At 41.1% G+C, this 27,986-nt stretch overlaps 1 protein-coding gene across 1 annotated transcript, besides 4 other annotated features; it reads right to left on the reverse strand.

Annotated features, from left to right (window-relative positions):
* Positions 1-714: 714 nt before the first annotated feature.
* On the reverse strand, positions 715-27,917 carry PPP2CB (protein phosphatase 2 catalytic subunit beta). Its single transcript, NM_001009552.2, has 7 exons — positions 27,419-27,917; positions 14,645-14,854; positions 12,680-12,853; positions 9,291-9,380; positions 9,016-9,177; positions 6,296-6,414; positions 715-1,406 (listed from the first exon to the last, which is right to left on the reverse strand). The coding sequence occupies exons 1-7, from the start codon at positions 27,518-27,520 to the stop codon at positions 1,334-1,336; spliced, it is 930 nt and encodes a 309-aa protein (NP_001009552.1). The 5' UTR covers positions 27,521-27,917; the 3' UTR covers positions 715-1,333.
* Positions 27,171-27,230: a silencer, noted in NCBI's record as "silent region_19085". NCBI's record gives its function as "represses an Ori minimal core promoter by ATAC-STARR-seq in GM12878 lymphoblastoid cells {active_cell/tissue: GM12878}" and the evidence as "EXISTENCE:reporter gene assay evidence [ECO:0000049][PMID:35858748]".
* Positions 27,291-27,400: a silencer, noted in NCBI's record as "silent region_19086". NCBI's record gives its function as "represses an Ori minimal core promoter by ATAC-STARR-seq in GM12878 lymphoblastoid cells {active_cell/tissue: GM12878}" and the evidence as "EXISTENCE:reporter gene assay evidence [ECO:0000049][PMID:35858748]".
* Positions 27,481-27,540: a silencer, noted in NCBI's record as "silent region_19087". NCBI's record gives its function as "represses an Ori minimal core promoter by ATAC-STARR-seq in GM12878 lymphoblastoid cells {active_cell/tissue: GM12878}" and the evidence as "EXISTENCE:reporter gene assay evidence [ECO:0000049][PMID:35858748]".
* Positions 27,571-27,790: a silencer, noted in NCBI's record as "silent region_19088". NCBI's record gives its function as "represses an Ori minimal core promoter by ATAC-STARR-seq in GM12878 lymphoblastoid cells {active_cell/tissue: GM12878}" and the evidence as "EXISTENCE:reporter gene assay evidence [ECO:0000049][PMID:35858748]".
* Positions 27,918-27,986: the final 69 nt, after the last annotated feature.

Here is a 27,986-nt window from a genome sequence, read left to right on the forward strand (position 1 = left end):
TATCAGCTATTTGAATTTCTTCTGAAAGTAAGTCCTGTAACAAAGAATATTACAATAAAATTTCCTCAACACAAATGTTTATTTCAAGTTTAGAGATTAAAAATTTTTTTAAAAAAAATACAGAGATGGAGTCTCACTGTGTTGCCCAGGCAGGTCTCAACCTCCTGAGCTCAAGCAATCCTCTTTTCTCAGCCTCCCAAAGCAATGGGATTACAGGCATGAGCCACCATGCCCAGCCTATTTTTTATTTTTTAGAGATGACATCTTGCTATGTTGCCCAGGCTGCCCTCAAGCTCTTGGGTTCAAGCCATCCTCCACCTCAGCCTCCTGAGTAGCTGGGACTATAGCCATGTCCCATTGCCCTGCTTTGAAAGATTTTATGTCGTTTCAAGATAGCAGGCCAGGTGTGATGGCACACATCTATAATCTCAAGAATTTGGCAGGGCCACTTGAGGCCAGGAGTTCAAGACCAGCCTGGGCAACATAACAAGATCCCGTCTCTACAAAATATTTTACAAATTAGCTGGGTGTGGTGGTATGTTGAGTGTAGTCCCAGCTACTCAGGAGGCTGAGGGAGGAGAATGGCTTGGGCTCAGGAGTTCAAGGTTGAAGTGAGCTATGACTGTGCCACTGCACTCCAGCCCAGATGACAGAGCAAGACCTGGTCTAGAAAAAATAAAGTTTTCATTTAATGCACAACACAATAAATGAATGTTTTTGTTTAAAATGAAAAGTTTATTTGCTGAGTACACCAAATAGGATGCAAGCACTGTCATGACAAATATACAGAAATATGCAGATCAACATAAAACAGTAATTTAGTTTAAATGAAGGGAAATCTCTTTAAATGTTATGACAACATACTCCCAAGAAGAACCTTTTCTTCAGTTAAGTTAATTATACATTTCAATAAAATAAAGGATAATGGATTAGTGGAAGTTAGCTTGTGAATTTTTCTTAAAAATAAAACTCCAACTCTATTAATCCATGCCAGTTAAACACTATAACTAAAATTTCCAAATAAGCGCAAAAGGAGATGAAGCAGTTAGTTACCTTTTTTGCTTGAACAGTCCAAAGGAAAATGGTTACTATAAATACAGCAGGCAAACTGTTAGACTGACCTAGAACATAGTGTACTAAATTTCAGTCTCAAATTGTGCTAAATGCTCATCATTAGTATGGCACATTTGGTCCATGATGTGGTTTAATGCCAAGACAGATCCCAATTTGTTACAGAAACACATAGATTACTGTTGCTTTTTGTTTTTAAATACATATATTTTAAAAAGCCAGGTATACTTCCACATACAAAGGCAGGTTTCCCAGGAGAAATTTATAGGAAGTAGTCTGGGGTGCGCCGTGTAACATGAGGCTCACCACGACGAGGCGCTGGGTCAAATTGAAGGCTGTAAATGGCAAAAAAGGAAGCAAATAAAGGATCTGACTTTGCAAAGAAAACAAATGAATAAAGAACAAGACACTGTAGTAGAAACAGCAGTCCTGCTTTCCCACCATGACTACATCACTTACGGCTGGAATGGCCATGGGCAAATCACTGCAGATGCTCCCATTCCAACTAACTGCTTCATAGGGCTATGGTGAAAATTTAAGAAGACAGAATGTCTGGTTTGGTGCCTGGCATAACAATTTCTAAATGTTATTATTATTTAAAAGCTTAAATAATTAAAGATTAAATAATATCAAGTTTAAATAATTAAACAATAATTGTTTAATATTATTTAATAATAATAATAATATCACTTTTTTTTTTTTTTTTTTTGAGGCAGAGTCTTGCTCTGTCGCCCAGGCTGGAGTGCACTGGCACGATCTCGGCTTATTGCAAGCTCCGCCTCCTGGGTTCATACCATTCTCCTGCCTCAGCCTCCTGAGTAGCTGGGACTACAGGAACCCATTACCATGCCCGGCTAATTTTCTTATTTTTTTTTAGTAGAGACGGGGTTTCACCGTGTTAGCCAGGATGGTCTCATCTCCTGACCTCATGATCCACCCGCTTCGGCCTCCCAAAGTGCTGGGATTACAGGCGTGAGCCACCGCGCCAGGCCTAATATCACTATTTTCTTGAGTGTTTCTGGCTAGTGGATTTTTCCAATTATTTTTGTGCCTCTATTGAGATGATCATGTGTTTTTTAATCCCTTAATATTAATATGGTTTATTATATTGATTTTCATGTTTTGAACCAACCTAGCATTCCTGGGATAAATCCCACTTGCTCATGGTGTATAATCTTTTTACATATTGCTAGATCCAGGTTGCTGGTACGTATGTTGGAAAATTTTATATCTGTATTCGTAACAAATGCTGGTCTGTTTTTGCCTTTGTCTACTTTTGGTATCAAGGATAATAGTGCAGGTGTGACAGAATGAATGCAGTAGTCCTCCTCTTCTGTTTTTTGGAAGTGTTTGTGAAGGATTGGCATTAACTCGTTTTTATTTTTGAGACAGGGTCTCACTCTGTTGCCCAAGCTGGAGTGCAGTGGTGTGATCATGGCTCACTGTAGCCTCAACCTCCCTGGGCTCAGGTGATCCTCCCACTTCAGCTTCCTGAGTAGCTGAGACTATAGGCTGAGCCACCACACCAGGTTAATTTTTGTATTCTTTGTAGATACAGGGTTTTACCATGTTACCCAGGCTGATCTTGAATCCTGGGCTCAATCTGCCTGCCTTGGCTTCCCAAAGTGCTAGGATTACTGGTTAGAGCCACCGCACCTGGCCAATTCCTTTCTTTAAACATTTGGTGGACTTCATCAATGAAGCCAATTGGGCTTGGCCTTTTATTTGTGGGGAGTTTTAACTTTTTCACTCATTTATTTATATTCTTTTAAATTAAATAGGGACAAGGTCCTGCTATGTTGTCCAGGCTGGTCTCAAACTCCTAGTCTCAAGCAATCCTCTCAGCTTGGCCTCCCAAAGCTGGGATTTATAGGTGTGAGCCACCATGCTGGCTCAATATTTTCACATTTGAAAGGTCATTCAGATTTCATATTTCTTGAGTCAGTTTCAGTAGTTTCTTTTTAGGAATTAGTACGTTTTATCAAAGTTACTGAATTTGCTGGCATATAGTTATTTATTGTATTCCCTTATAATCCTTTTTATTTCAGTAAGGTCTCTAGTGATTTGGTAATGTGAGTCTTTACTCCTTTTTTTCTTGGCCAGTCTAGTTAAGGCTTTTCAAAGCATCAACTTTGGGTTTTGTTGATTTTTCTGTAATGATTTTCTACTGTTTGTTTATTTCTACTCTAAACCTCGTTTCATAAGCTTACATCAGGTTTAGTTTACTCTGCTTTTTCTAGGTCCTCAAGTATAAAGATAGGTTACTGATTTCAAATCTTCTTGTTTTTTTTTTTGTTTTTTTCTTTCTGAGACAGGGTCTTTGCTCTGTTGCCTAGGCTGTAGTGTAGTGCTGTGATCATAGCTCATTGCAGCCTTGATCAACTGGGCTCAAGTGATCCTCCATCTCAGCCTCCCATACAGCTGAGACTACAGGTGCTTGGCACCATACCTGGCTAATTTTTAAATTTTTTTGTAGAGACGGGGTCTCCCTATGTTGCCCAGGCTGGCCTCAAGTGATCCTCCTACTTTGGCTTCCCAAAGTGTTGGGATTACTTGTGTGAGCCACAGCATCCAGCCATGTTAATGATTTCTAATTTCATTTCCTTGTGTTTGGAGAATATCCTTTTAAGAATCTAATCTTCTTAAATTGCCTGAGGCATGTTTTACAGTCTAGCATATGACTATGTTTCATGTTTACTTGAGAGGAAAGTATTCTGCTGTTGTTGGGTGTTGTTTTACAGACATGAGGTATACAGTCAGTTTACAGTGTTGCTCAAGTCTTCTCCTGCCTTCATCTCCTGCCTAGTTGTTCTATCCAAGAGAAACAGTTTCTGTTGCTTAGTTTTTTCCTGTGTAGAGGTCACACTTCCTTGTTCTTTCCATGTCTTATAATCTGTGGTTGAAAAATTGGACATTATAGATAACATATTGCAGTAGCTCTGGAATTCATGTCCTTGGGGACTGATCTTGTCTTTTTGGTGGTTTATTATTTTTGTTTAGTGACTTAGCTGAACTAACTGTAAAGTCTACTTCCCCCATAGTGTGCAGCCCCTGTGGCCCTGCTCGGATGTTTTTACTTTTTTTTTTTTTTTTTGAGTTTCACTTTTGTTGCCCAGGCTGGACTGCAATGGCGTGATCGCCGCCGCCTCCCAGGTTCAAGCGATTCTCCTGCCTCAGCCTCCTGAGTAGCTGGGATTACAGGCATGCGCCACCACACCCAACTAATTTTGTATTTTTAATAGAGACTGGGTTTCTCCATGTTGGTCAGGCTGGTCTTGAACTCCCGACCTCAGGTGATCCGCCCACCTCGGCTTCCCAAAGTGCTGGGATTACAGGCATGAGCCACCGTGCCTGACCGTTTTTACTTCTTTTAATCTTTCACAGCCTGGCTACTGAGGGGCTGTCTCTGGGTAGGCATAAGCCACTTACTGATCAAAGATTGTACTTAAGCCCCCTTGGCCAGTTAGATCTTAAAGCTCACCCTAATGGCCACCGGAAATGTTATGTGACTTGCAGATTGCTATCAAAGCTGAAGGAGTTTATATTTTGGCTTCCCATTCAGCCAGGGACTAATAGTTGGATCTTCATACTGCACTCAGTCCAGAGAGGGTATAACCTTGGGCATGCACATATTCTGCCAGACTGTCAGGGATGAGTGTGATTTTATTTTAAAGCCTGACTACCTAGGAGGTGCTCCTGGATCAGAGTAACTGAATGTCGTTCAGTCAATGATGAGAGGTTGTGTTTAAGCCTCACATACTAGTGATGGTTACACCATTTGTTGATCAATCTACTTATCCATTTCCTGGGGCTGCCGTAACAAATTACCGAACTGTATAGCTTATACAACGGGGATTTATCCTCTCACAGTTCTGGAGGCTACAAGTCTGAAAGCAAGATGCTGGGAGGACCACGCTCTCTCTGAAGGCTCTAGGAAAAATCCTTCCTAGCCTCTCCCTAGCTTCTGATGGCTCTGGCAATCCTTAGCTGGTAGATGCATCACTTGAATCTCTGGCTTCACACAGCATTCTCCCCTGTGTGTGTTTCTTTTCCTCTTACTAAAATCCCATTCGAATTGGATTTAGGCCCACCCTAATCCAGTACAATCTCATCTTTAATAATTATATCTGTAAAGATCCTATTTCCAAATAACATCACATTTTGAGGTTCTGGGTGGACATGAATTTTTTTGGGGGGACATTATTCAACTCAGTACAATCTATGTGTGGCTTGAAAATATTATATGAATACCCCACATCCTACTCTTGACTGCTCCTGAGTGGGTATGGCTAGTGCATGTGCACAGCCTTCTTGTCCCCCAGGGCTGACTGTGATCCCAGAAGGGCTCTTCTTGGCTTTTTCCCTGGTGCTATTTGTTGAACAACATGTTGCTCTGCTCTTTTGTATGTTGCTCCTAGTATCATGGGAGCTATTACAGCCCTCTTAATTGGTCTCCACCATGACATCTACTGCTTTCCACAAAGCACTCAGATTTGGAATTCTCCATCACCTAAGTAAGATAAGTCCTCTGAGGCAGAGCTGAGGAACTTCTGTGACCTGCCTTTCCTCCTGAGCAGAACTTCTGTGCCAGTGCAGGCTCAGTGATACCACCTGGTTTATAAGCAGGTGCTGGGGTAACAGCATTGGGAAACCCAGCATTCTCATCTGCCATGCATGCCTGGAGCAGAGCTTCTGCCCCAGGAGCTGGGGCAGGGAAGGGGGCCTCAGCCTGCTTGACTGTGTCTACCAGGAGTAGAGCTTTTGTAACTCCAGACTAGGAGAGGTGAGATATGCTGGCATCTGATCTCTGGGAGTGAACCCACAGCCCCAGCCCTGGGAGCTGATGAAGAGGGGGAATCCCTTAGCCTCCTGACTATACCAACCCAGCGTAGAGCGCCTGTAGTCGTTTCTGTGAGAGGGATCTGGGAGGAGTTGGAGGGGGCAAGTCATAGCTCAAATGCCACAGACTACGGCTATTATTACTGAGATTTAGTAGGTTTTCTTGAATTAACTGTTTCTCCACCTGCTGTATGCCCTTAGGACAATTTCCAAAAGCTTTGAAAAATTATTTTTTAAAAATAATGTTCTCCAGCTAATGGTTATTTTTGCTGGAGAGGGGCTTTGCTATACTCCTCATCCAATTTCAGAAACAGAAATCTTCTATTTTTAACATTTAAAATTTTCCTTCTGAAAGTATATACAATTAAAATTTACAGTTACTCACAAGGAATATTTTAAAGTGTCATCTAATTCCATGATAGCAGCCTGGTTCCCACAACGATAACAGTAATTGGGTGCACTGAAAATGGTAACCACATTCCGATCATGACACCAATTGTATCCCTGCAGGATAAAAACAAATTCATTATTTCATTATAATATTATGATTTTGACACAGACACATTTAAAAAAAACTAAACTCAAAAACTACAGGTACTCTCTGTGGAAATGTAGTCGTCTATATTACTATATAAGGTCTCCATCTTTAATAGTTTGTGTACCTGTAAAGAATACTGTGCAATTCGTGGGCCTAGGAGTCTGTTAAATGCAGCTCGCTAATTGTTGTTTTGCCGTATCTATGCTTGAAATCTTGGCAAGGATGTGTACTGAATTTCTCCCACAATCATAATTAATTTCTCAATTTTCCCTCATGAATTATGCCAATTTTTTCTTTATATATTTTGAAGCTATTACTAGGTAAATACAAATTTAGAATACTTTCTTCCTAGAGAACTGGGCCAGTTTTCATCAATAATCTCTTTATTTCTAATAATACCTTTTATTAGAGCCTATCTCATTCATATTATTAGCTATAGTATTATATATAGTGTGTATACATACATGCTAATTAATGTATGTGTATATACATATGTATATATACGTGTATATATGTATATATGTGTGTGCATATATGTATACATGTGTATATACATGTGTATATACATACACGTATATATGTATGTATACATGTATGTGTGCGCATATATGTATACGTGTGTATATGTGTATATATACGTGTGCATATATGTATACACACATACATGTGTGTATATATGTATACATATATATACATACATTAGTGTATGTATGTGTGTATATACACACACACACACATCCTGTGTTGCCCAGGCTGGAGTGCAGTGGTGCGATCTAGACTCACTGCAACCTCCAACTCCTGGGTTCAAGCAATTCTCCTGCCTCAGCCCCGAGTAGTTGGGACTACAGGTGCGTGCCACCACACCAGGTTAATTTTTTGTATTTTAGTAGAGACAGGATCTCACCATGTTGCCCAGGCTGGTCTCGAACTCCTGAGCTCCAGCAATCCGCTTGCCTCAGCCTCCCAAAGTGCTGGGAATAGAGGCACGAGCCACCACGCCAGCTCATTAGCTATATTTTTGATATTTTGATTAATTACTTGATATACCAATATACCATTTTCCAACTCTTACCTCTAGTTTGTGGTGTCTTTTTCTTTTTCCTCGTTTTTTTGAGACAAGGTCTCACCCTTTTGCCCAGGCTGGAGTGCAGCGGTACGATCATAGCTCACTGCAGCCTCAACCTCCTGGCCTCAAGTGACCCTCTCACCTCAGCCTCCTGAGTAGCTGGGACAATAGACATATGCCACCATGCCCAGCTAACTTTTTGACTTTTTTTTTTTTTTTATATAGAGATGAGGTCTCACTATGTTGCCCAGGCTGGTCTGAAACTCCAAGACTCAAGAGATCCTCCCACCTCGGCCTCCCAAAGTGCTGGGATTATAGGCATGAGCCACTTTGTCCAGCCAATCATTTATGTTTTAGGTACATCCCAAATAACAGCTAAATTTTGATTATTTATCCAATCTAAGAGTCTCTTTCAGGCTAAAATTTTAGTCTCTTTCTTATAATCACTGATATAATTAAATTTATTTTTACTATGTAAATTTGTGTTTTTTTTATCATGCTCCCTTGTTTCTACTGGGCTGGCGAAGTTTTCTCTAAACATCTTGAAGCCACTCCCTACTGGTCTGCAGGGATTATGTTGTTTATGTTCCCTTAGTAGTTGTATAACAGTTAATATTATAGTGGAGAAATCTGGCAGACATCATCTTAACTAAGCAATTAAAGTTGCCACCACCAGCATTGAGACAAGCAGATTTTAGGACCACTTGATACAATGCACGGAGGAGGACACACCATCTTTCTATGTCATGACTGCCAAAAATGCATACATTGAATCCCTAACTGCAAGGAAAACATCAGGCAAACCCCAACTGAGGGATATTTCTGTAAGATAAAATGCTCCTACTCTTCCAAAATGTCAAGAATGTGGAAAACAATGAAAATCGGAGGATTTCCACATCAAAGTAGAATGAATACAACCTAATCTTTGGATTCGACTATGCACATACAGTATGCACAAAAAATTAAATTTTGCTATTAAAGACATTAGTGAGACAATTAGCAAAATTTGAATAAAGTGTTCATATTAAATAACAGTACTATATGAACACAAATTTCCCAACTGTGATAACTATACGGTGGTTATGTGACAGTGTGTCCTTAATTTTACAAAATACACATAGAAAGTTGGTAGTAAAGGAGTATCTGTCTGCAACAGATATTCAAATGGTTCAGAAGAAAGTGTGAGGGGTGAAGAGGAAGAGAGACACAAAATGATAAAGCAAATATAGTAAAATATTTACAGTCAGGAATCTGAATGAAGCATACAGGGAATTATGGGGTACTATTTTTGTAACTTTTTTCTAAGTCTCAATTTCAAAAATGAGTTATAATTCTGCTCTGGTCTACTAGTGCTTTCCCTACTTGCTAAAACCAGCAAGTTTTTCCTCTTTTCACCTAGGTAATAAATGGTGAGGAATGTTTCTTAGTTAAGTCATAATGCCTTATTACAGAAGTATATACTAATCTGAAATAAAGATCATTCTGTCAGGAAAGTACATACCTCCATTACAAGCTGGTGGGCACGAGAAACCAGTGTGAGACCATTGGCATGGTTAAAGGTTTCAGAAATGTCTTGTCCAAATGTGTAGCCAGCACCACGTGGTGAAATACCCCATCCACCACGATCATCTGGATCTGACCATAACAGATCACACATTGGGCCCTGGCCAAGAAAAATAAGTACATGTTACAAATTATTATCAGTCATACTTTATCATCCTCAAAATGTGGTTATATTTTCTTTTCCTTTCTTCTTCTTTTTTAAATTAAGTTTACCTCATGTGGAACTTCCTGTAAACGATCCAGGGCTCTTATATGATCCAGTGTGTCTATGGATGGAGAGAGGCCACCATGGAGGCAGAATATCTATGTATGAATTAACAAAAGAGAATGTATTTGTTTTACTAACTCCAAACAGTTAACAAAGAGTAAATAATGGTTAAAAGTGTCAGTCCAAATAGTGCCAACATTTAAACATATTTTGTCCATCATTTTTTCTTCTTTACCCCTTCTCTGGTCAATGGTATCCCCATCCTTGGGGACCCACCATTAAATTTCTTTTTTTTTTTTTCCCCTCCCTCCCTCCCTTCCTTTTCTCTGGTCAATGGTATCCCCATCCTTGGTACCTACCATTAAATTTCTTTCTTTCTTTTTTTTCTCCCTCCCCACTTCCCTCCTTTCTTTTCTTTCTGTAGAGATGGAGTCTTGCTGTGCTGCTGAGGATGGAGAGCAGTAGCTATTCACAGCCTTGATCACTGCGCAATGCAGCCATGAACTCCTGGGCCCAAGCAATCCTCCTGCCTCAGCCTCCTGGGAAGCTAGGATTACAGGTGCATGCCACTGTACCCAGCTGTCATTACAGCTTCTGTTGGTTATTGCTGATATATACAATTTTTTGTTTCTCTTACAGCAAACACTCTGATTCCTGTTACTGGCTACAATAAATTTTCAGTTCCTTCATATTTTCTAAGTACATAATCAAGTCATTTGCAAAACTATTTTTGTTTTTTCTTCTCAATGTTTATACGTTTTAATTCTTTTTATTGCTTAGTGCATTGGCCAGGACTTCTAAAATAAAATGGAATAATACAAATGTTTTCTGTTTTGTTTTTTGTAAACTACCTAGTTTCAAGTCCATGCTCTAGGTATTCTGAATCAGAGAGAATAACGTAAGTTTTAACAAGCATTTTCTTTCTGATTTTGATTTTTTTTTTTTTTTTTTTTGAGACGGAGTTTCGCTCTTGTTGCCCAGTGCAATGGCGTGATCTCGGCTCACCGCAACCTCCGCCTTCCGGGTTCAAGCAATTCTCCTGCCTGAGCCTCCTGAGTAGCTGGGTTTACAGACATGTGCCACCATGCCTGGCTAATTTTGTATTTTTAGTAGAGACAGGGTTTCTCCATGTTGGCCAGGCTGGTCTTGAACTCCCAACCTCAGGTGATCCGCCCGCCTTGGCCTCCCAAAGTGCTGGGATTACAGGCATGAGCCACCTCACCTGGCCTGATGAGAAGGTTTCTAATGTTTAGCTGATAGTACAACTGGCGTTTCTTTATCCACTTAATATTATTATTTTATAAAATAACTGAGTTTTGAATCATAAATATAGGAATTTTTTTTCCAAATGACTTTGGTCTGATTTTATTTTTCTGTGCGTGCCACGTCTGGTTTGGCATTGAGGTTATACTAGGCATACGGTGTGAGTTTTGAACTCTCCATCTTTTCCCAAGTTCTAGAACACAGAAATTATATGTTCCTTAAAGGTTTGGTAGAATTAGCCTATAAAACTATTTACACCTGGTTGCTATTGGTTGTTTACTTATATTGGACGAATTTCTGCAAGCCAATTTTAATAACTGGTATTTTACTATAGTAAGCTTCATTCAGCTTTTCAAACTTAGTGCACTAAAGCTGCACCTGTTCTTGTGATACACGAGCTCCTGCATAGTTATAATTATGCCTTATTTCATTCCTAGTGTTTTATGTGCCTTCCATCTTTTCTTCTAGATCAGTTTTGTTCACTATTATTTCTTTTCTAGTAACTTTTCAGAAAGAAAGGAAGGAAGGAGGAAGGGAAAAATATATAAAAGCTCTACTAACGCACCCATTTTAAAAACTAGATACTTCATTAAAACTGATAGGCTGTCTTTTAAAAATCATTCTGTCCAGCAATTTTATTATTAATGAAGACTATGTTGCTTCAAAACAATTAAAAACAACCTTAATTAAAATTTAACATCTTTTAAATTCACATTTTCTTTTAACAAGTCCAGGCAAAGTATCGTCCTTTCAAATTAATCACGGCAGTGTCCAAAATCATGGCTGAGAAAAAAGACTGTCAGGATTACACAGGGAAAGTTATAACCAAATTATATTCCCACGAGCAGTCTAAGAGAGAATTTATTACATTCTTGACAACTCTGGGCTTTCATAATTTAAGAATTATGGAGTTTTATTATATGTTTTATATTTATTTATTTTATTTTTTGAGATGGAGTCTCACTTTGTCACCCAAGCTGGAGTGCCGTGATACGATCTTGGCTCACTGCAACCTCTGTCTCTCTCAGGTTCAAGTGATTCTCCTGCCTCAGCCTCTCAAGTAGCTGGGACTGGGACTACAGGCATGCAATGCCATCCCCGGCTAATTTTTGTATTTTTAGTAGAGATGGGGTTTCACCATGTTGGCCAGGCTGGTCTCGAACTCCCTACCTCAGGTGATCCACCCACCTTGGCCTCCTAAAGTGCTGGGATTACAGGTAGGAGCCAACTTGCCCGGCTTTTGTTTTATATTTAAATTTAAATCAGTTCATGCTTACAGTGATTATCTCTAGAAATTGAAATAGGAAATTTGCATAATTTCTTCTTATACTTTTGAATGTTTCATGACATGTCTGCACTACTTGTTACAGCAAATGCAGAAATAGCATTTGCTTCTATTTTCTTTTTTTGTTCTTTGAGATGGGGTTTTGCTGTTGCCCAGGCTGAAGCCCAGGCTGGATCACGGCTCACTGCAGCCTTAACTTCCTGGGCTGAAGAGATCCTCTCACCTCTAGCTTCCTGAGTAGCTAGACCACAAGCACGCGCCACTATGCCTAGCTAATTTTTAAATTTTTTTTTTTGTAGAGACAGGGTCTTACTACATTGCCCAGGCTGGTCTTGAACCCCTGAACTCAAGCGGTCCTCTTGCCTTGGCCTCCCAAAGTACTAGCCACTGTGCCCAGCCAAGCATTCACTTCTCAGGGAAGGTGTAATACACAATATAACATTTGCAGTTACCATGAAAATAGAAATGAAAAGTTATTCATGGTAACCAGCAGACACTGCATGTATATGCAGAGATAGTTTTAAATAACATCTTGCTTTGCTAGTACTATACATCAGTGTCTTAAACATTTATTTATAATGTTTATCGATATCTTAAAAAGCACAGCATATTCTTTGGTTAAAAGATTTACATACATATCTGAGAACAACAGGAAAATTTGCTGGTCCAAATGTATGTGAAACTTATCCACTTCCCTGCTTTGAAATTTTAAGTATAAGGGAAGGAGGAGGAAAAGGCCGAGGAGATGCAGAAACACAGGTCATATGAATCTAGACCCCAGCTTACCAATAGTCAATCTCTGCTTCCATTTACCTCCTCCCAAGATGTAAGCACACATATACATACCTGTCCATCTACTAAAGCTGTAAGTGGAAGATAATCAAAGAGATCTGTAAAATATTTCCAAACGTTGGCATTCCCATACTTTCGCAGACATTCATCATAAAAGCCATATACTTGGGTAATTTGTCGGCTTTCGTGATTTCCTCTCAATATTGTAATGCGTTCTGGATAACGCACCTGGAAGAAAAGGAGTAAAACCCATAGTAAAATCACATTTTTACTAGTGTCATGTGAAGTACACCAGTCTCTGACCCATTTTTAAACACGGCGCTTTTGGCCACCAGTATATTAAATGTTAATTTCAGTTTCAAAATAAAAAACTTGCTTATTCATAACCAGGTCTTACTGGTTAACATTTGACGTGTTTATTATAATCATCCTTTTTCATCAGGTTTCGACAACCCTCATCAGAACCTTTAACTAATACTTATATTACTATAATAAACTTGTATCTGATACTTTGCTTCTATTATCTTCATCATCAAATTATTACTACTTTCCTAAATCTTTCTAGAACACTATGACTTCTTACTGCTGAATGAGTAGTGAAAATCACAGGTTTGAAGCTGAGACAAACTCTACAGATTAACTTCTTCCCTTTTCAATTTTTATTTCCCACAGGAAGATTGGATTTGCCAATAATAACACAAAAACAGGCCCTTGACAAAACTGGGCAAGATTTCAAATGTATTAATAGTTTCCTTTCTATTAAAAAACATAAGCGACTATTTAGTTAGGAATGCATCTGATAAGAAATACGAAAAAGCACTGGATTCTGCAAATTAAGCTAAAAGCTGCAAGTATGTACTTCAATTCATACATATTTTACTAAGCATCCGTTATGTGTCTAACGTAAGTTTGGTGCTATAAAGCCAGATGCCAGATCTACACAAGTACAGTCATGTGCTGGGCAGCATTTTTGTTAACAGATTACATGTACGATGTTGGCTGGAGCAAGAGACTATACCATTACAGCCTTTGTGTGCAGTAGGCTATACCACCTAGGTTTGTGTAAGTTCCAAAGATGACAAAATCACCTAATGGCACATTTCTCAGAATGTATGCCTGCAGTTAAGTGACCCATGACCATGTAATATATGGCTTCTGCTGTTGAGGGACTAACCTCACTAAGGACATATGTAAAATAATAAGTAATAGAAGGCAATAAGCCACTTTTGCAGCATAAATAAGGGCTGGGAGAATAAGTTTCCTCATAGTAATTTAGAGCAGAAGGAATAAGGCTAAAATGGTTGAAGGTTACATGGAGGAAGTGAGACCTGAGCTGAGTCTTGGCAGAAAGGTAAGAAATCAGGGACAGGATAACCTCGTGGGGGAAATCGACTATGGAAATAAACAGAGTCCAGAGCACTGAATAAGAAGAAACTTTGATTTGAGCCAGAGTTTATGCTACCAACCGCTGGCAGGCAAAAATTCAGACTAGACTATAGAAGGCCAGGCAAGGAGTTTGAATTTGATTCTATAGGCAACAGGCAATCAACAGGAAGTAACAATATAAAAGGGTTAAATAAGAGATTTCATCGGCCAGCGTATGCCAGGTGGATTTGGGGGGGATCAGATCTTGGAGGCAGAAATATTAGTTACTAAGCTATTGTAACAATCGAATTGTGAAGTGATAAACTGTGTGAAAATAGAAAGAGACAGGAACAACAGACTTTTCAAAGCAAGGATTTAAAAAGACTTGTCTACTGACTCAATATAACGGATAAGTGATAAAGTCAAATATGATTCCAAGACTTCAGCTATGGACTACTCGAGAGAATGATACATTTATCGGGAATACACAGAAGTTATCCTTTTCACCTCTCCTTTAAAAAGATGTAAAACCAATTATTATTTTAAGGGGCTATAAACTGAACAGACCATAAAACAGATGATATGCAATACTGTCATTCTTGCCTTTTGCCTGGTTTAAATCTTGAAAAAAAAATTGAATTTCAATAATCATACCTTTAATGCTACAAGAAGAGTCACAGTCTCCACTGAATAATATCCTCTGTCTACATAGTCACCCATGAATAAGTAGTTTGTATCCGGTGATTTTCCACCAATTCTAAAGAGTTCCATAAGATCATGAAATTGACCATGCACATCTCCACAGACAGTAACAGGGCAACGAACCTCTTGCACATTTGATTCTTTTGTTAAAATTTCCTTTGCCTGTTAGAAAAGTGAAATCAACAATTACAAAGTTAAAACTATCATTTCTTATCTATTAAAAGAAAATTTGGGGAAAAAAACACTTGAAAAGTGCCTTATAAAAGCGTATGTGAAAACCAAACCACGAGATAACACTTTCATTAGAAAGGCTATAATAAAAAAGACAGTTAATAAGTGTTGCAAACATGTGGATAAACTGGAACCCTCATACACTGCTGGTGGAAATGCAAAATGGTGCAGCTGCTGTGGAAAACTGTCTGGCAGTTCCTCCAAAGTTAAACCTAAAATTACCATGTAATCCAGCAGTTCCACTCCTAGGTATATACTCAAGAGAAATGAAATCCAGTTTATACATGTTCATGGCAGCATTATTAATAACAGCCAAAAAGTAGAAACCACCAGATATTGATCAACCGATGAATGGACATAACATATTCATACAATGGAATAGTCACTCAGCTATGAAGAAATGAAGTACTGATACATGCTACAACTTTGAAGACATTATGGTAAGTGCAAGAAGTCAGTCACAAATGATCACATAATGTACAATTCCATTTACATGAAATGTCCAGAATAGGCAAATCTTCAAGGCAGAAGGTCTGTGTTTTAAAAAGAATAATCTTATTATTCACAAGTTTAAAAAGGTCAATGAAAGAAAAAAGTCACAAATTATGCAAATTCTTGTGTGAACAAACATTCTTACACCAATTCATAGGCCAACCTTGAATTTCTTTATTCCAATTATTTTATATTTATAGAATTAAGTTAGAAAATACCATTAGGTGGCCCTGAAGTACAGAATTTATGCTTAAACACTGGCAAATGAAATGTTCTGACTAAATCGAAGTTCACTAATGGCTCATCGATCTGGCCTCTCTGCCTAATAGCAAAAGATCCCAGAATCAGGAAGAAAAATTTAAAAGCCTCTGAAGTAACAAAACAGACATCATAAAAATGTATCTAACCCACCAGAAGAGACTCTCAGGCCTTATTCTGGGCCTACTGTTATCTACAAAATTCCAACAAGCTATTTACCGAGTTTCCAGGTCCATGAGAAATTAGAAACAGAAAACCACGAAAGCTAAGAGATGAGAACTGGGACTAATACAGAATGCAAACCGAGAGGAAGAAACAACCGGATGGCTAGCATAGCTAAAACACAGGGCAGCCTGGCGCGGTGGCTCATGCCTGTAATTCCAGCACTTTGGGAGGCCGAGGGGGGAGGATAGCTTGAATCCAGGAGTTTGAGACCAGGCTGGGCAACATAGTGAGACCTCTGGTCTCTATAAAAAATTTAAAAAATAGCTGGGCATGGTGGTGTGTGCCTATAGTCCCAGCTACTTAGGAGGGTGGGGTGGGGTGGGAAGACAGCTTGAGCTGGGGAGTTCAAGGCTGCAGTGAGCCATGGTCGCACCACTTTGCAGTTAACCCCGGGTGAGAGTGAGACAAAAGAAAAAAAAGGCAACAACACAGCACAGTGAAAGTCAAACAGGGCCGGGCACGGTGGCTCATGCCTGTAATCCCAGCACTTTGGGAGGCTGAGGCAGGTGGATCACGAGGTCAGGAGATTGAGACCATCCTGGCTAACACAGTGAAACCCCATCTCTACTAAAAATACAAAAAATTAGCCCGGCATGGTGGCGGGCGCCTGTAGCCCCAGCTACTCAGGAGGCTGAGGCAGGAGAATATGACATGAACCTGGGAGGCGGAGCTTGCAGTGAGCCAAGATCGTGCCACTGCACTCCAGCCTGGGCGACAGAGCAAAACTCAGTCACAGAAAAAAAAAAAAAAAGTCAAACAGGATGAAGCTTAAAGTAAAAGCAGATGACAGCTTAGACTGGTGGGGGAGAGAGCACAATTTTAGGGACAGACAGTTCTCTGCCTCTTCAGTGATTTGATAATCTGAAGAGTATTTAAAACATGGATTTTGAGTTTCACTGTATTTCCTGCTACTCTGCATTTTTGTCAACAGACTTTAACACTAGTTGAGGGATACTCAACCTGTAGCGATTTTCAAAACACACAATAGTTTGTACACACACTGTAGGAATCACAAAGTTACTCTAGCCCCAGATTACTTTATGCCAACTAGATGCGCCCAGCCCAGACTCTTAATTTGAAGCAACTCTAAAGAGCAGGGACAATGGCAAGTTCTATTCCAACAGAAGTGTTCTCTCTAGTGTTCTAAATCATTTCTAAGGTATGATTCTGACTGCACCTCTAACCTCCCTTAATTTCTGCAAAATGCTCATGCTTGGTTCTCCAGCTTTTCTTTTGATTCTAGGCTACCATGTATTCTTCTACAAATGCCTTTTCTGCTTATAGCCTGGTAGGATTCCCAAGAGTTATGGACAATGTAGCCCATACTTTCTTCTCCTTGCTTGTAATTAATTAGAATGAGATTATATGCAATGAAGTCTTCCAGAAAACATGGGTTCTCTTCAGTTTTAATCTAATTGTGTAATCTTAAGGCCTTTATACCCTTCAGTTTCTTTTCCTGAGATCACAAATTAAACAATAATTTTACCAGAAGCCAAGTTTATTCCACAAAACAGCTCCCAATACACCACAAACATTCTGCACACCACATATTTTTTGCATATGAAGAACATGGCTGAGGAGATTATATACAGAAACATAATGGTTGTCTGGGAGGTAGGAGGGCAGGGGACAGGAATGGTGGGTAGAGTGCATTTGCTTTCCTTGCTACCTTTCTGAGGTGCTTGCACAAATTTTCTTTGAGACAGGGTCTCGCTCTGTTGCCCAGGCTGGAGTGCAGTGGTGTGAACGTAGCTCACTGCAGCCTCAAACTCCTGGGCTCAAGCAGTCCTCCCACTCAGCCTCCTAAAGTGCTGAGATTGCAGGTCTGAGCCACCGTGACTGGCCAATGCTCGAAATTTTAAAAAACAAATTCTGTATTACTTTTTCAAACGGAAAAAACCTGGCTTCTTAAACTTCAAAACAAATTCCAGATGGCAGTAATTATAAAATATCCACACAATGGAATTTTATTCAGCCATAAAAAGGAACGAAGTCCAGATACATGCTACAATATGGAGGAATCTTGGATATATTATGCTAAAAGAGAGAAGCCAAACACACAAGACATAACCCTGGAAATGAAATTCAAATCAAAAGTACACGGAAGAACCGACTGTGGGAATGCTGACAATGCTGCTGTTGGAGAGACTCCAAATATGCAGCCAGGAACTTAGCAACACGCAGAAACTTAGTGACATAAAGAAGTGAAAATCCAAACTTATTGCATAAATGAGGAAAATTGTTTTGGAAGAAGTGATGCTAGCAAAAATCTCTTTCTGTATTTGTCAGGAAAGATCACTTTTACTTCGGCTCCTAAATAAATCAGACGAACAGTTCCTAGGACTTTATAGGTATATTTAAGATTATCTCTTGTATCTCACTAGCTTTTGTTTTTTTTTAAGACATGGTCTTAATCTTCTTGACAAATACAGGTATTTCATGACACTGAAAGCACAAAGGAGGCCGGGGGCAGTGGCTCACACCTGTAATCCCAGCACTTTTGGAGGCCGAGGCAGAAGGATCACTTGAGTCCAGGAGTTCAAGATCACCTTGGACAACATGAGGAGACCCTGTCTCTACAAAAAAATGAGTAAAAAAAGCCAGGTGTGGTTGTGTATTCCTGTAGTCTCAGCTACTCAGGAGACTGAGGCGTGAAGATGGCTTGAGTCCAGGAGTACAAGGCTGCAGTGAACTATGATCATGTTACTGTACTCCAGCCTAGGCGACAGTAAGATCCTGCCTTTAAAAAAAAAAAAAGCAGCTTCCTGGACCTGCCCAAGACATGTCAATCAGTCTCTGGAATGGAGTCAAGGAACATGAATTTCCTATTTCTTTCCCAAGTGATTCTCATGTGCGCTTAAAGTTTATGGAAAAGATGGACAATCAGACTATACAAAAATGCTAAAACTTGCACAGTAAAAATTATACACACATATCACAAAGTAGAAAATAAGACCTTAAACATTTTTAAATGGCTAACTTTTGGAGAATTTATACAACCAAGAAAAGACAAAATACAATTTTTTTTTTTTTTTGAGACGGAGTCCTGCTCTGTCGTCCAGGCTGGAGTGCAGTGGCGCGATCTCCATCTCAGCTCACTGCAACCTCCGCCTCCTGGATTCAAGTGATTCTCCTGCCTTAGCCTCCCAAGTAGCTGGGATTACAGGCGCGTGCCACCACACCCAGCTAATTTCTGTATTTTTAGTAGAGATGGGGTTTCACCACGTTGGCCAGACTGGTCTCAAACCCCTGACCTCGTGATCCGCCCGCCTCGGCCTCCTAAAGTGCTGAGATTACAGGCATAAGCCACTGTGCCCAGTTGACAAAATACAAACTTAAAACAAAAAAAGAATATGCCAACTCAACTGGAAAAATCCCTCACATTGCACACACTCCACAATTCTGATAAATCTAGCCTTGTTTTCTTCATGTATTTTGGTATTGCCATTTATTATTATTAAGGTTCTCGTCCCTCAGAATTTGCTATGGAATAAAAATCTGTATAGTGAAGAATTAACCTCACCCGAGGAGAGGTCTGGCCTTTGCCCCTGGAATTTCCTGCTTGGTAAAGAGATCTCTGCCTGGGGGCTCTGACCTGCGGACCATTAACAATGTGACTCACGATGCGGACTTTGGATGATCCCACTATCAGTTTGGTCTCTGGAGGACTGGACACTACAGATGTCAGCCCCTCTTGTACTCTGCCCTTATGAGTCTTTTCCCTTGGCTTACTTTAAATTGTATTCATTCCCTGTAATAAACCATAATCATCAGTGTAACAGCTTAAAGTGAGTTCTGTGAGTCATTCCTGTGAATCACTGAACCTAAGAGTGGTTTTCGGAACCCACTGAACTAGTATATTGGTGCCAAAACTGAGGCAGTCCTGGGCAGTGTTCCCTGTAATTTATAGTTCACTGAACTTTATTTTTTGTCTGCTGTTCTGAAGGTACATCATGACTAAACTTTTGAAGATGGTGTCAGAGGTGAGAACAGTGTTAGGGACTGTGCCTTCTAACTCTCGCAAAATCCTTTTTAATTACAAAAGTAAACCACATTATAAAGAATTTGGAAGGTTTTCTATGACCACCCTATTAAAAAAAAAAGAGTCTCTTGAATTCAAGCCCATCACTGTCCCCATCTTCTGCTTTTTCTTGCCAGCAAGAATCAATGCCTGGTGTTCATTAATCGTGTCCCCTCTTCACAGCTGAATCTCTAGCACTTTGAACAGTCTGGTACATAGTGGTTCAACTAAAATCTGTTGAATGTACGGGATAACTACACAGTGGCAGCATTCTGTCAACCAATCCTCTCCTTTCTTCTTCACTGCCCACAGGAACAAGCGCCTCTTTTGCTACTCAAGCCAAGTCGAGAATACACTGAACCAATTCTGAGCTCTCATCATCCAGGACATAAATATCATGCGGAACTCTTTTAAACGAAGATGAAAATTATTTCCCTCTCTATAAGATGGGATTTTGAGCTGGGCGCAGTGGCTCACGCCTGCAATCCCAGCACTTTGGGAGGCTGAGGCAGGCAGGTCACAAGGTCAGGAGATCCGAGACCATCCTGGCTCACATGGTGAAACTCCATCTCTATTAAAAACACAAAAAATTAGCCGGGAGTGGTGGCAGGCACCTGTAGTCCCAGCTACTCGGGAGGCTGGGGCAGGTGAATGGCATGAACCCGGTAGGCGGAGCTTGCAGTGAACCGAGATGGCACCACTGCACTCCAGCCTGGATGACAGAGAGAGAGACTCCATCACAAAAAAACAAAAAAAAAGAGATTTTGAGCAAAATTAAACTACAGCCTACACACCGTATCCTGCATATTAAAAAAAATCCAACTATGCTAAAAAGTTAATTCAAATAAGCTTTTTTCTAAGATTGAATAGGTGAGAACACTTAAATTCACCACTGTATCCCAGTCTCAACATAAAAACGATTGTCTTTGTATAAAATATTCACTTAATAGATCTCCAATGGAGTCTTCCACATTTTTGGTGTAACATGATGCTATTATAACGCAAGTCAGGAATCTCAGGTTGCACCTCAGGATTGTCTTTTAATTCATTTGATCACAAAAGTATCTCAGTCAAAAAACAGTTTACAAGGAATGATGATAAATATTTCTAAATTACAAAGGACACAACAGCAAACCAGTTCTAAGCTTGAGTGCTTGAGCTCTCCCATTCTCTGGAAAGGAAACGGAATCTGTAATACACAGAACTCCTTCCCAGGGTTAATATGATTTTTTTTTTTTTTTTTTTGAGATGGAGTCTCCCTCTGTCACCCAGGCTGGAATGCAGTGGCGCGATCTCGGCTCACTGCAAGCTCTGCCTCCTGGGTTCACGCCATCCTCTTGCCTCAGCCTCCCGAGTAGCTGGGCCTACAGGCGCCTGCCACCACGCCTGGCTGATTTTTTTTTTTTTGTATTTTTAGTGGAGACGGGGTTTCACCATGTTAGCCAGGATGGTCTGGATCTCCTGACCTCATGATCCGCCTGCCTTGGCCTCCCAAAGTGCTGGGATTACAGGCGCGAACCACCATGCCCGGCCGTTAATATGATTATTAATGAAATTTAGAGTTGAAAAGTAACGTACAGGAACTATTAGATCACATTTGGTCATTAAGGAAGAAAAGATGTCTTCATACAAGTTTCTTTAAACAATCTGGATTAGGTTTACATTTCATTACATTTACTTGAAGGAAATCAGTTCAAAACAATAAAAAATTTCTATTTAACACAGACTCAGATTTCTTATACAGATTACTTCTGTAACTTTAATATCATTCTTCTTAGAAAAAACTACATTCAGAAAACAATCTAGGAAAATTAATTAAGCATTAATTCCATCTTCAATTTCTGGCATTTTCATTTCCTTTTACCAAGGAAGGGCTTCATTCACCAAGTCTTTTATAACATTCGTACTGAAGAGAAAAGACTGTGAAGAAAAAATTTCTGCAAGATCTTCAAATAAGAATAAAAGGCACACACGGCAATAAAAGCAGGCAATGAAAAGAAATTTTACATTGCAAATATCTTCACTTTATCTACTTAGGTAAATATCTTATGGCAAGGGTATATTATTGTTAAAGGGCAGTATTAAGTATTAAATATATTTACCTAGTCATATATATTTGACACGTCATATATAAAGTAGAGAAATGTAACAAAGTCCACTTTCCCGCCATTAGCAATAGTTCATGCTAGTCTAGTTTGGTTTAATTTCTTTACCTGTCCACTAAGAGGCTGGCTTAGCAAGGAAAACAATGATTTGTTCAGTCACTAGAATTGGGTCTTGACCCTCTATTTCACTGTAATCATGCCATTCTTCATTATACTAAGAAAGGAGCTATTTTATCACTGCATTTTAGATTTTATCAATGGACCACCAAAGCTGGCACTAATTTTTGTTCGAGGGAAATTAAAAATGGAAGTACCAGTTAGGCATTTTGCCTGTCAAGACCACTATTTTTATTTTTTAAGCTGTAATCAATCACAGAAAGTAATCTAAAAAAATTTTCTCAATTCACAAAAATCACTCATTTTTACCAGAATCTAATCTTCATTAAGATGGTTTTGGGTATTCAGGAACAAGCATACTATTTCACATTAGGAATGAAGTCATATCCTAAAGTTATTTCTGCTTATTTCAAGGCTAACGCCAGGACTTAGAAACATTTCCATCAGTTCAATATAAAATTTACATATTTATACTTCTACACAAGCCTCGACATTTTTCTCAATACGTACTTTATAATCATCAGAATAAAGATCTGCCAGCACACACATTGGCTGAATTTCCCTCCCCACCTAAAGAATCATCACCAAGGTTCTTCAGTTATAAAATTTAACAGGTCAAAGAGCTTAAAATTTTTACTCTTTCTGAGACAACAGTTAAATATAGTTCTAGTCACAGAGTGTCCTGAGCAGTGCCAGCCTGGCTCTCTTGGCACACAATCTTCTAAAATAACTGCATACTGCTGATGCAGGAATGAATCACAGAAGCAATTTCTCTGCACACACAAGAGGAGTCAAATTCACAATTAGCTTCAAAAGCTGGATTGCTAATTTAAGCTAGTGTTAAGAGCTAGTCTTCTCAGAAGACATGCCTTGCTATTTTATGCAAACAATTTTTCACTAGGCAGAAATTAACCTTGGAAGCCAGACACACCATACCATTCATACTCTTTATTTTTTGTAGTCATTCACCCACTGGCACTAGGATAGATTTTATTTTTGCAACTACCTCAAAATAGGCCTTTACTAGTACTACTCTGGTCTTGATTTCAGTGGACTCCTTCAGCTTTCTTTTTTTGGAGACAGAGTCTCACTCTGTCGCCCAGGCTGGAATGCAGTGGCGATCTCGGCTCACTGCAACTTCTGCCTCCTGGGTTCAAGCAATTCTCCTGCCTCAGCCTCCCGAGTAGCTGGGACTACAGGCACACACCGCCATGCCCGGCTAATTTTTTGTATTTTAGTAGAGATAGGGTTTTACCATGTTGCCCGTGCTGGTCTCGAACTCCTGAGCTCAGACAATCCGCCCACCTCGACCTCCCAAAGTGCTAGGATTACAGGGGTGAGCCACCATGACCAGCCGACTCCTTCAGTTTTTAGGCAATCTGAATTAGAATAGAAATTTAAGGAAAAACCACCATCATACGATGTAACTTCCTATAGAATAGTATTTCCAATAGAATAAAAAAAGGTATTTTTAAAAAACCCAAAAATTGAATCACAAGGATTAAAGATAGTTTATATAATTAGGTTTGACTCTTTATTTTTCTCATATTTTCTTTCTACATGCCTGCTACTCTTGCCCTAGAAAGGTAGGGCAAGTATTAAGTAGACCAAGTCAGGAGTAAAGATACTTCACACAACTGCTATTAATTCCAGTACTGTGTGGTTCACATAACAGGCACCACTACTTTTCAGGGTTCTATAGCCACTATATAAAAAAAACTCCTTTGAAGTATATTTACCAAAGAAAAGGCATATTGGCACATCTATTCATTTTGCATTTCTTACAAAAGAAAATGGGTGACACTTATGATTAAAACTTTCAGCCTTCCTTTAGTTAACATTCACTGCGTGCTTACTTCTCATTAGGACTTTACATGGCCTTTTTTTTTTTTTTTTTTTTTTGAGAAAACTGCATTCTGTCACCCAGGCTGGAGTGCAGCGGTATGATCACTGCTCACTGTAACCTCTGCCTCCTAGGGATTCTTGTGTCTCAGCCTCCCAAGTAGCTGGGAGTGCAACACTACGCCCAGCTAATTTTTTTTTTTTTTTTTAGTAGAGGCAGAGTTTTGCCATGTTGGCCAGGCTGGTCTTGAACTCCTGGCCTCAAGTGATCTACCTGCATCGGCCTCCCAAAATGCTGGGATTACAGGCGTGAGCCACTGTGCCCGGCCAATGAATATATATCTTAGCACTCACAACCAACCCGGGAGGATTGGTACATATTATCTCTGTCATAAGGAATCAGAGGTGCAGAAAGACTGACAGCTAGCAAGCTGTGAAGCAGGACTGGAACTCAGACAGGATGAATGCTACACTTGTTATGTATCAACAAGGAGGATGGGGTAGGGATATAAAACGGAACTAGAAACTAAGGTCAGAAAACATATATATGTATATATACTCATACATACACAAACCACAAAGCTAGGTCATAGCTGCCAGAAGAGGGCTGCAAAACTAAGCACGGCTCAAAAAGAGTAGAGAGAAATGAGTATTATCACACTTTTCCAACCCATTGGCAACTCCATCAATGGGGGTAGAGAACAAAGATGAATGAATTTCACTAACAAATTCATGCTTTGTGGGTAAGGACAAATATTCAAAGAAAAAAAAATGGGCTAGGAGTGGTGGCTCACTCCCGCAATCCCTGCACTTTGGGAGGCCAAGGCGGGAGGATCACTTGAGCCCGAGAGTTCGAGACCAGCCTGGGCAACACGGTGAGACCCCATAAAAAAAATAAAAAAATTATCCCGGTGTGGTGACACATGCCTGTGGTCCCAGCTACTTGAGAGGCTGAAGTGGGAGGGTCCCTTATGCCCCAGAAGTTGAGGTTGCAGTGAGCGGTGATTGCCCCACTGCACTCCAGCCTGACTGACACACCAAGACTGCGTCCCCCCCCCGCCCCCAAAAAAGGCTAGTAAGATACAAGAGATAATCTTAAATATACCTGTGAAGTCCTAGGAACTGTTAGTCTGATTTATTTAGGAGCCGAAGTAAAAATAATCTCTTTTGACAAATACAGAAAGCTTCCTCAAGTGATCGTTGACACTCCGGTGTGATTATTTCAAAGTACAGCAGTGGTACAATATTCTTCTCTAGAAGTTCATCTTAAAATTATTAGAAAGTCAATAGGGGCTGTGCACGAGGCTCGCGCCTGTAATCCCAGCACTTTGGAAGGCTGAGGGATCACTTCAGGCCAGGAGTTCTAGACCAGCCTGGCCAGCATGGCAAAACCCCATCTCTACTAGAAATACAAAAATTAGCAGTGCATGGCTGCATGCACCTGTAATCCCAGTTACTCGGGAGGCTGAGGCAGGAGGATCCCTCGAACCCCGGAGGTGGAGGTTGCAGTGAACAGAGACGGCACCACTGCGCTCCAGTCTGGGCGACAGACTGAGCCTCTGTCTCAAAACAAAAATAAAACAAAAAAAGGAAGTCAATGGGAAAAACTGATTCAACTAACACTTTACCCATAACTTCAAGTCTGTATTCTGATGCTCATAGTCAGGTTAACTGACTCAGATCATTTCAAACCTGTACATTTCACTTCGCATTAGAGCTGGAGAGAGATGTTTAAGGCATAAATTTTAAGACTCATGAAATTACAGGTTATCACAATAAAAATGAATGTCAACTGAAGCCACAAGTAAGCAGTTTGTTTCAGAAAGAGAAAAATACCACTTGCTTGGCACTTCTATTTACAAAAATAAATCCTCCTGTGTTAACAAATAGTTACTTAATACACAAAGGCCCCGACCAACATTACACCCGTTAAAAATATTGTAACTTAACACCATCTATTAGTGCTCCTTTTCTAAGTAAATTTCATGATCTTAAGAGTACCCTAAAATCAGACTAACAAAATCTTTCCTTCTCCAGTGCACTTCTGCCACATCATGACTTCTAAACATTACGGTTAAGAAAATTTTATAGATTACGTTTTAAAATAACATCGTTACTTCTTCATGCACTTCAAGTGAGAATTTTTAACCTAAAAATACATGAAAATTATTTAGTCCACCTTGTAAAGGATGAATGTGGACAACTCTAGACTTCAAAGATGGAGAGATCGAAATAATTTCAGGGGTTAAGAAAACAATGGATACAGAATTTACAAAGTGAAGATCACACACTCACGATGTACAAGAACGAACTGATCACCCGCATGTTTTATTATTCTTTGGAAAAAAACTTTATATATATTAAAAACAAAAATAACTTTCTGCAAAGTGCTATCGTGCATGAAAACACACATCCCACTTATCATTTCCAGCAAACACTGTTCCCAAACTTAAGATCGGCTCTCGTTTCTGAAAATCAACACTTTACTTCCAAGAGCCACTCAACACAAAGACCAGTCACCATCTGTTTCCACCAAAGTCAACCTCTATTTTAAAAATCACAGTTGGCCATCACGCCTACCTCTCCGCAAACAAACGCTTGGCACATTCAAGAATCAGCGATTTTTTTTTTTTTTTTTTTGCTGTCGCCCAGGCTGGAGTGCAGTGGCGCGATCTCGACTCACTGCAACCAGCCTCCACCTCCTGGGCTCAAGCGATCCTCCCGCCTCAGCCTCCCGAATAGCTGGGATTACAGGCACCCGCCGTCACACCCTGCTAATTAAAAAAAATTTTTTGTGTGTGGAGACGGGGCCTCACTATGTTGCCCAGGCTGGTCTCTAACTCCTGGGCTCAAGCAATCCTCCCGCTTCAGCCTCCCGAGTAGCTGTGGCCACAGGCGTGAGCCACCACGCCCGGCTTGAGTTAGTGATTTCTGAGGTGCCCCGTTCACCTGACAAAAATTCTGCATTTATTAACAAGTTCATTAATACGCACGACATTCTGGTTAATTTTAGTTGCATTTTCAGAAACTGGTCTGAAAATGGTCCTTTTCGGACGTCGCTCTCGCTAGTCCACTCGGGAAATGCTAGAGTGGCAGGAACTCCCCAGTGGAGCGCAGGCGACCCCGACCAACCTCCTGCTTGGCTCAGGGGGCTACGTTTCCCCGCCCGTCCGCACCCGAGCCCCCCACGCCCGGGATCTGGGCAGCCGGCCGGGGGCGTGAGGCGGAGGTGGAAGGGGCAGGCGAGGGCAGCCCAACGCCCCGGGCCCTGAACCGATGGGCCGGCCGCCTAGGTGGACGCCGGAGCCGGACCCACAGCCCCGCAGGCCCCCGGTGGGCCGCGCCGGGCCAGGGGCGGACGGGACCGGGGCGGGCAGGAAAGCGGCGGCCCGTCCCAGCCCCGCGCTCCCGCACTCGCCCCCGCGGCGCCCTCACCTTCTCGCACAGCGTCCGCACTTGGTTCTCGTTCAGCTGCTTACACTCGTTCAGCTGCTCGACCCACTGGTCCAGCTCCTTGGTGAACGCCTTGTCGTCCATGGCGGCCCGATCCCGATGCGGATCCCGAGCCCCAGCCCGGCCGCCGCCCTCCCCCCTCCCCACCCGCCCCCGGCCCCGGCCCGGGCGCCGCTCCCCTCTCCCTCCGCCGCCGTCGCCAGGTCCCACAGGGGGAGGACTGAGCCGGGTAGGGCGGCCGCGGGCCCCGCGCCCCGCCCAAGCCCAGCAGGCGGCTCCGAGCGCGCAGCCTGGAGGAGACCCCCGCCCGCCCTTCCCCGCCCGGCCGCGCGCCGCGGGAGTCGGTGAAGGACGCGGTGAGGTGCCGGGGAGCGCGGCGCGGGTCCTCGGCCTAGCTCTCGCCGGACGAAGGCCGCCCGCTGCCGCTTCAGGCCCGCCTCACGCCTACCGGCCTCTCCCGACTTGTCTTTCCCCTTCTCTCGCTCTTTCTCTCCCCTCCCTCCGGGTTTCCGTCATCGCTCGGGCATTTCCGCCGGGAAAAGGCGAGCAG

This window comes from Homo sapiens, chromosome 8 (genome assembly GCF_000001405.40).
Source record: "Homo sapiens chromosome 8, GRCh38.p14 Primary Assembly".
In the NCBI taxonomy this organism is placed as follows: Eukaryota; Metazoa; Chordata; class Mammalia; order Primates; family Hominidae; genus Homo; species Homo sapiens.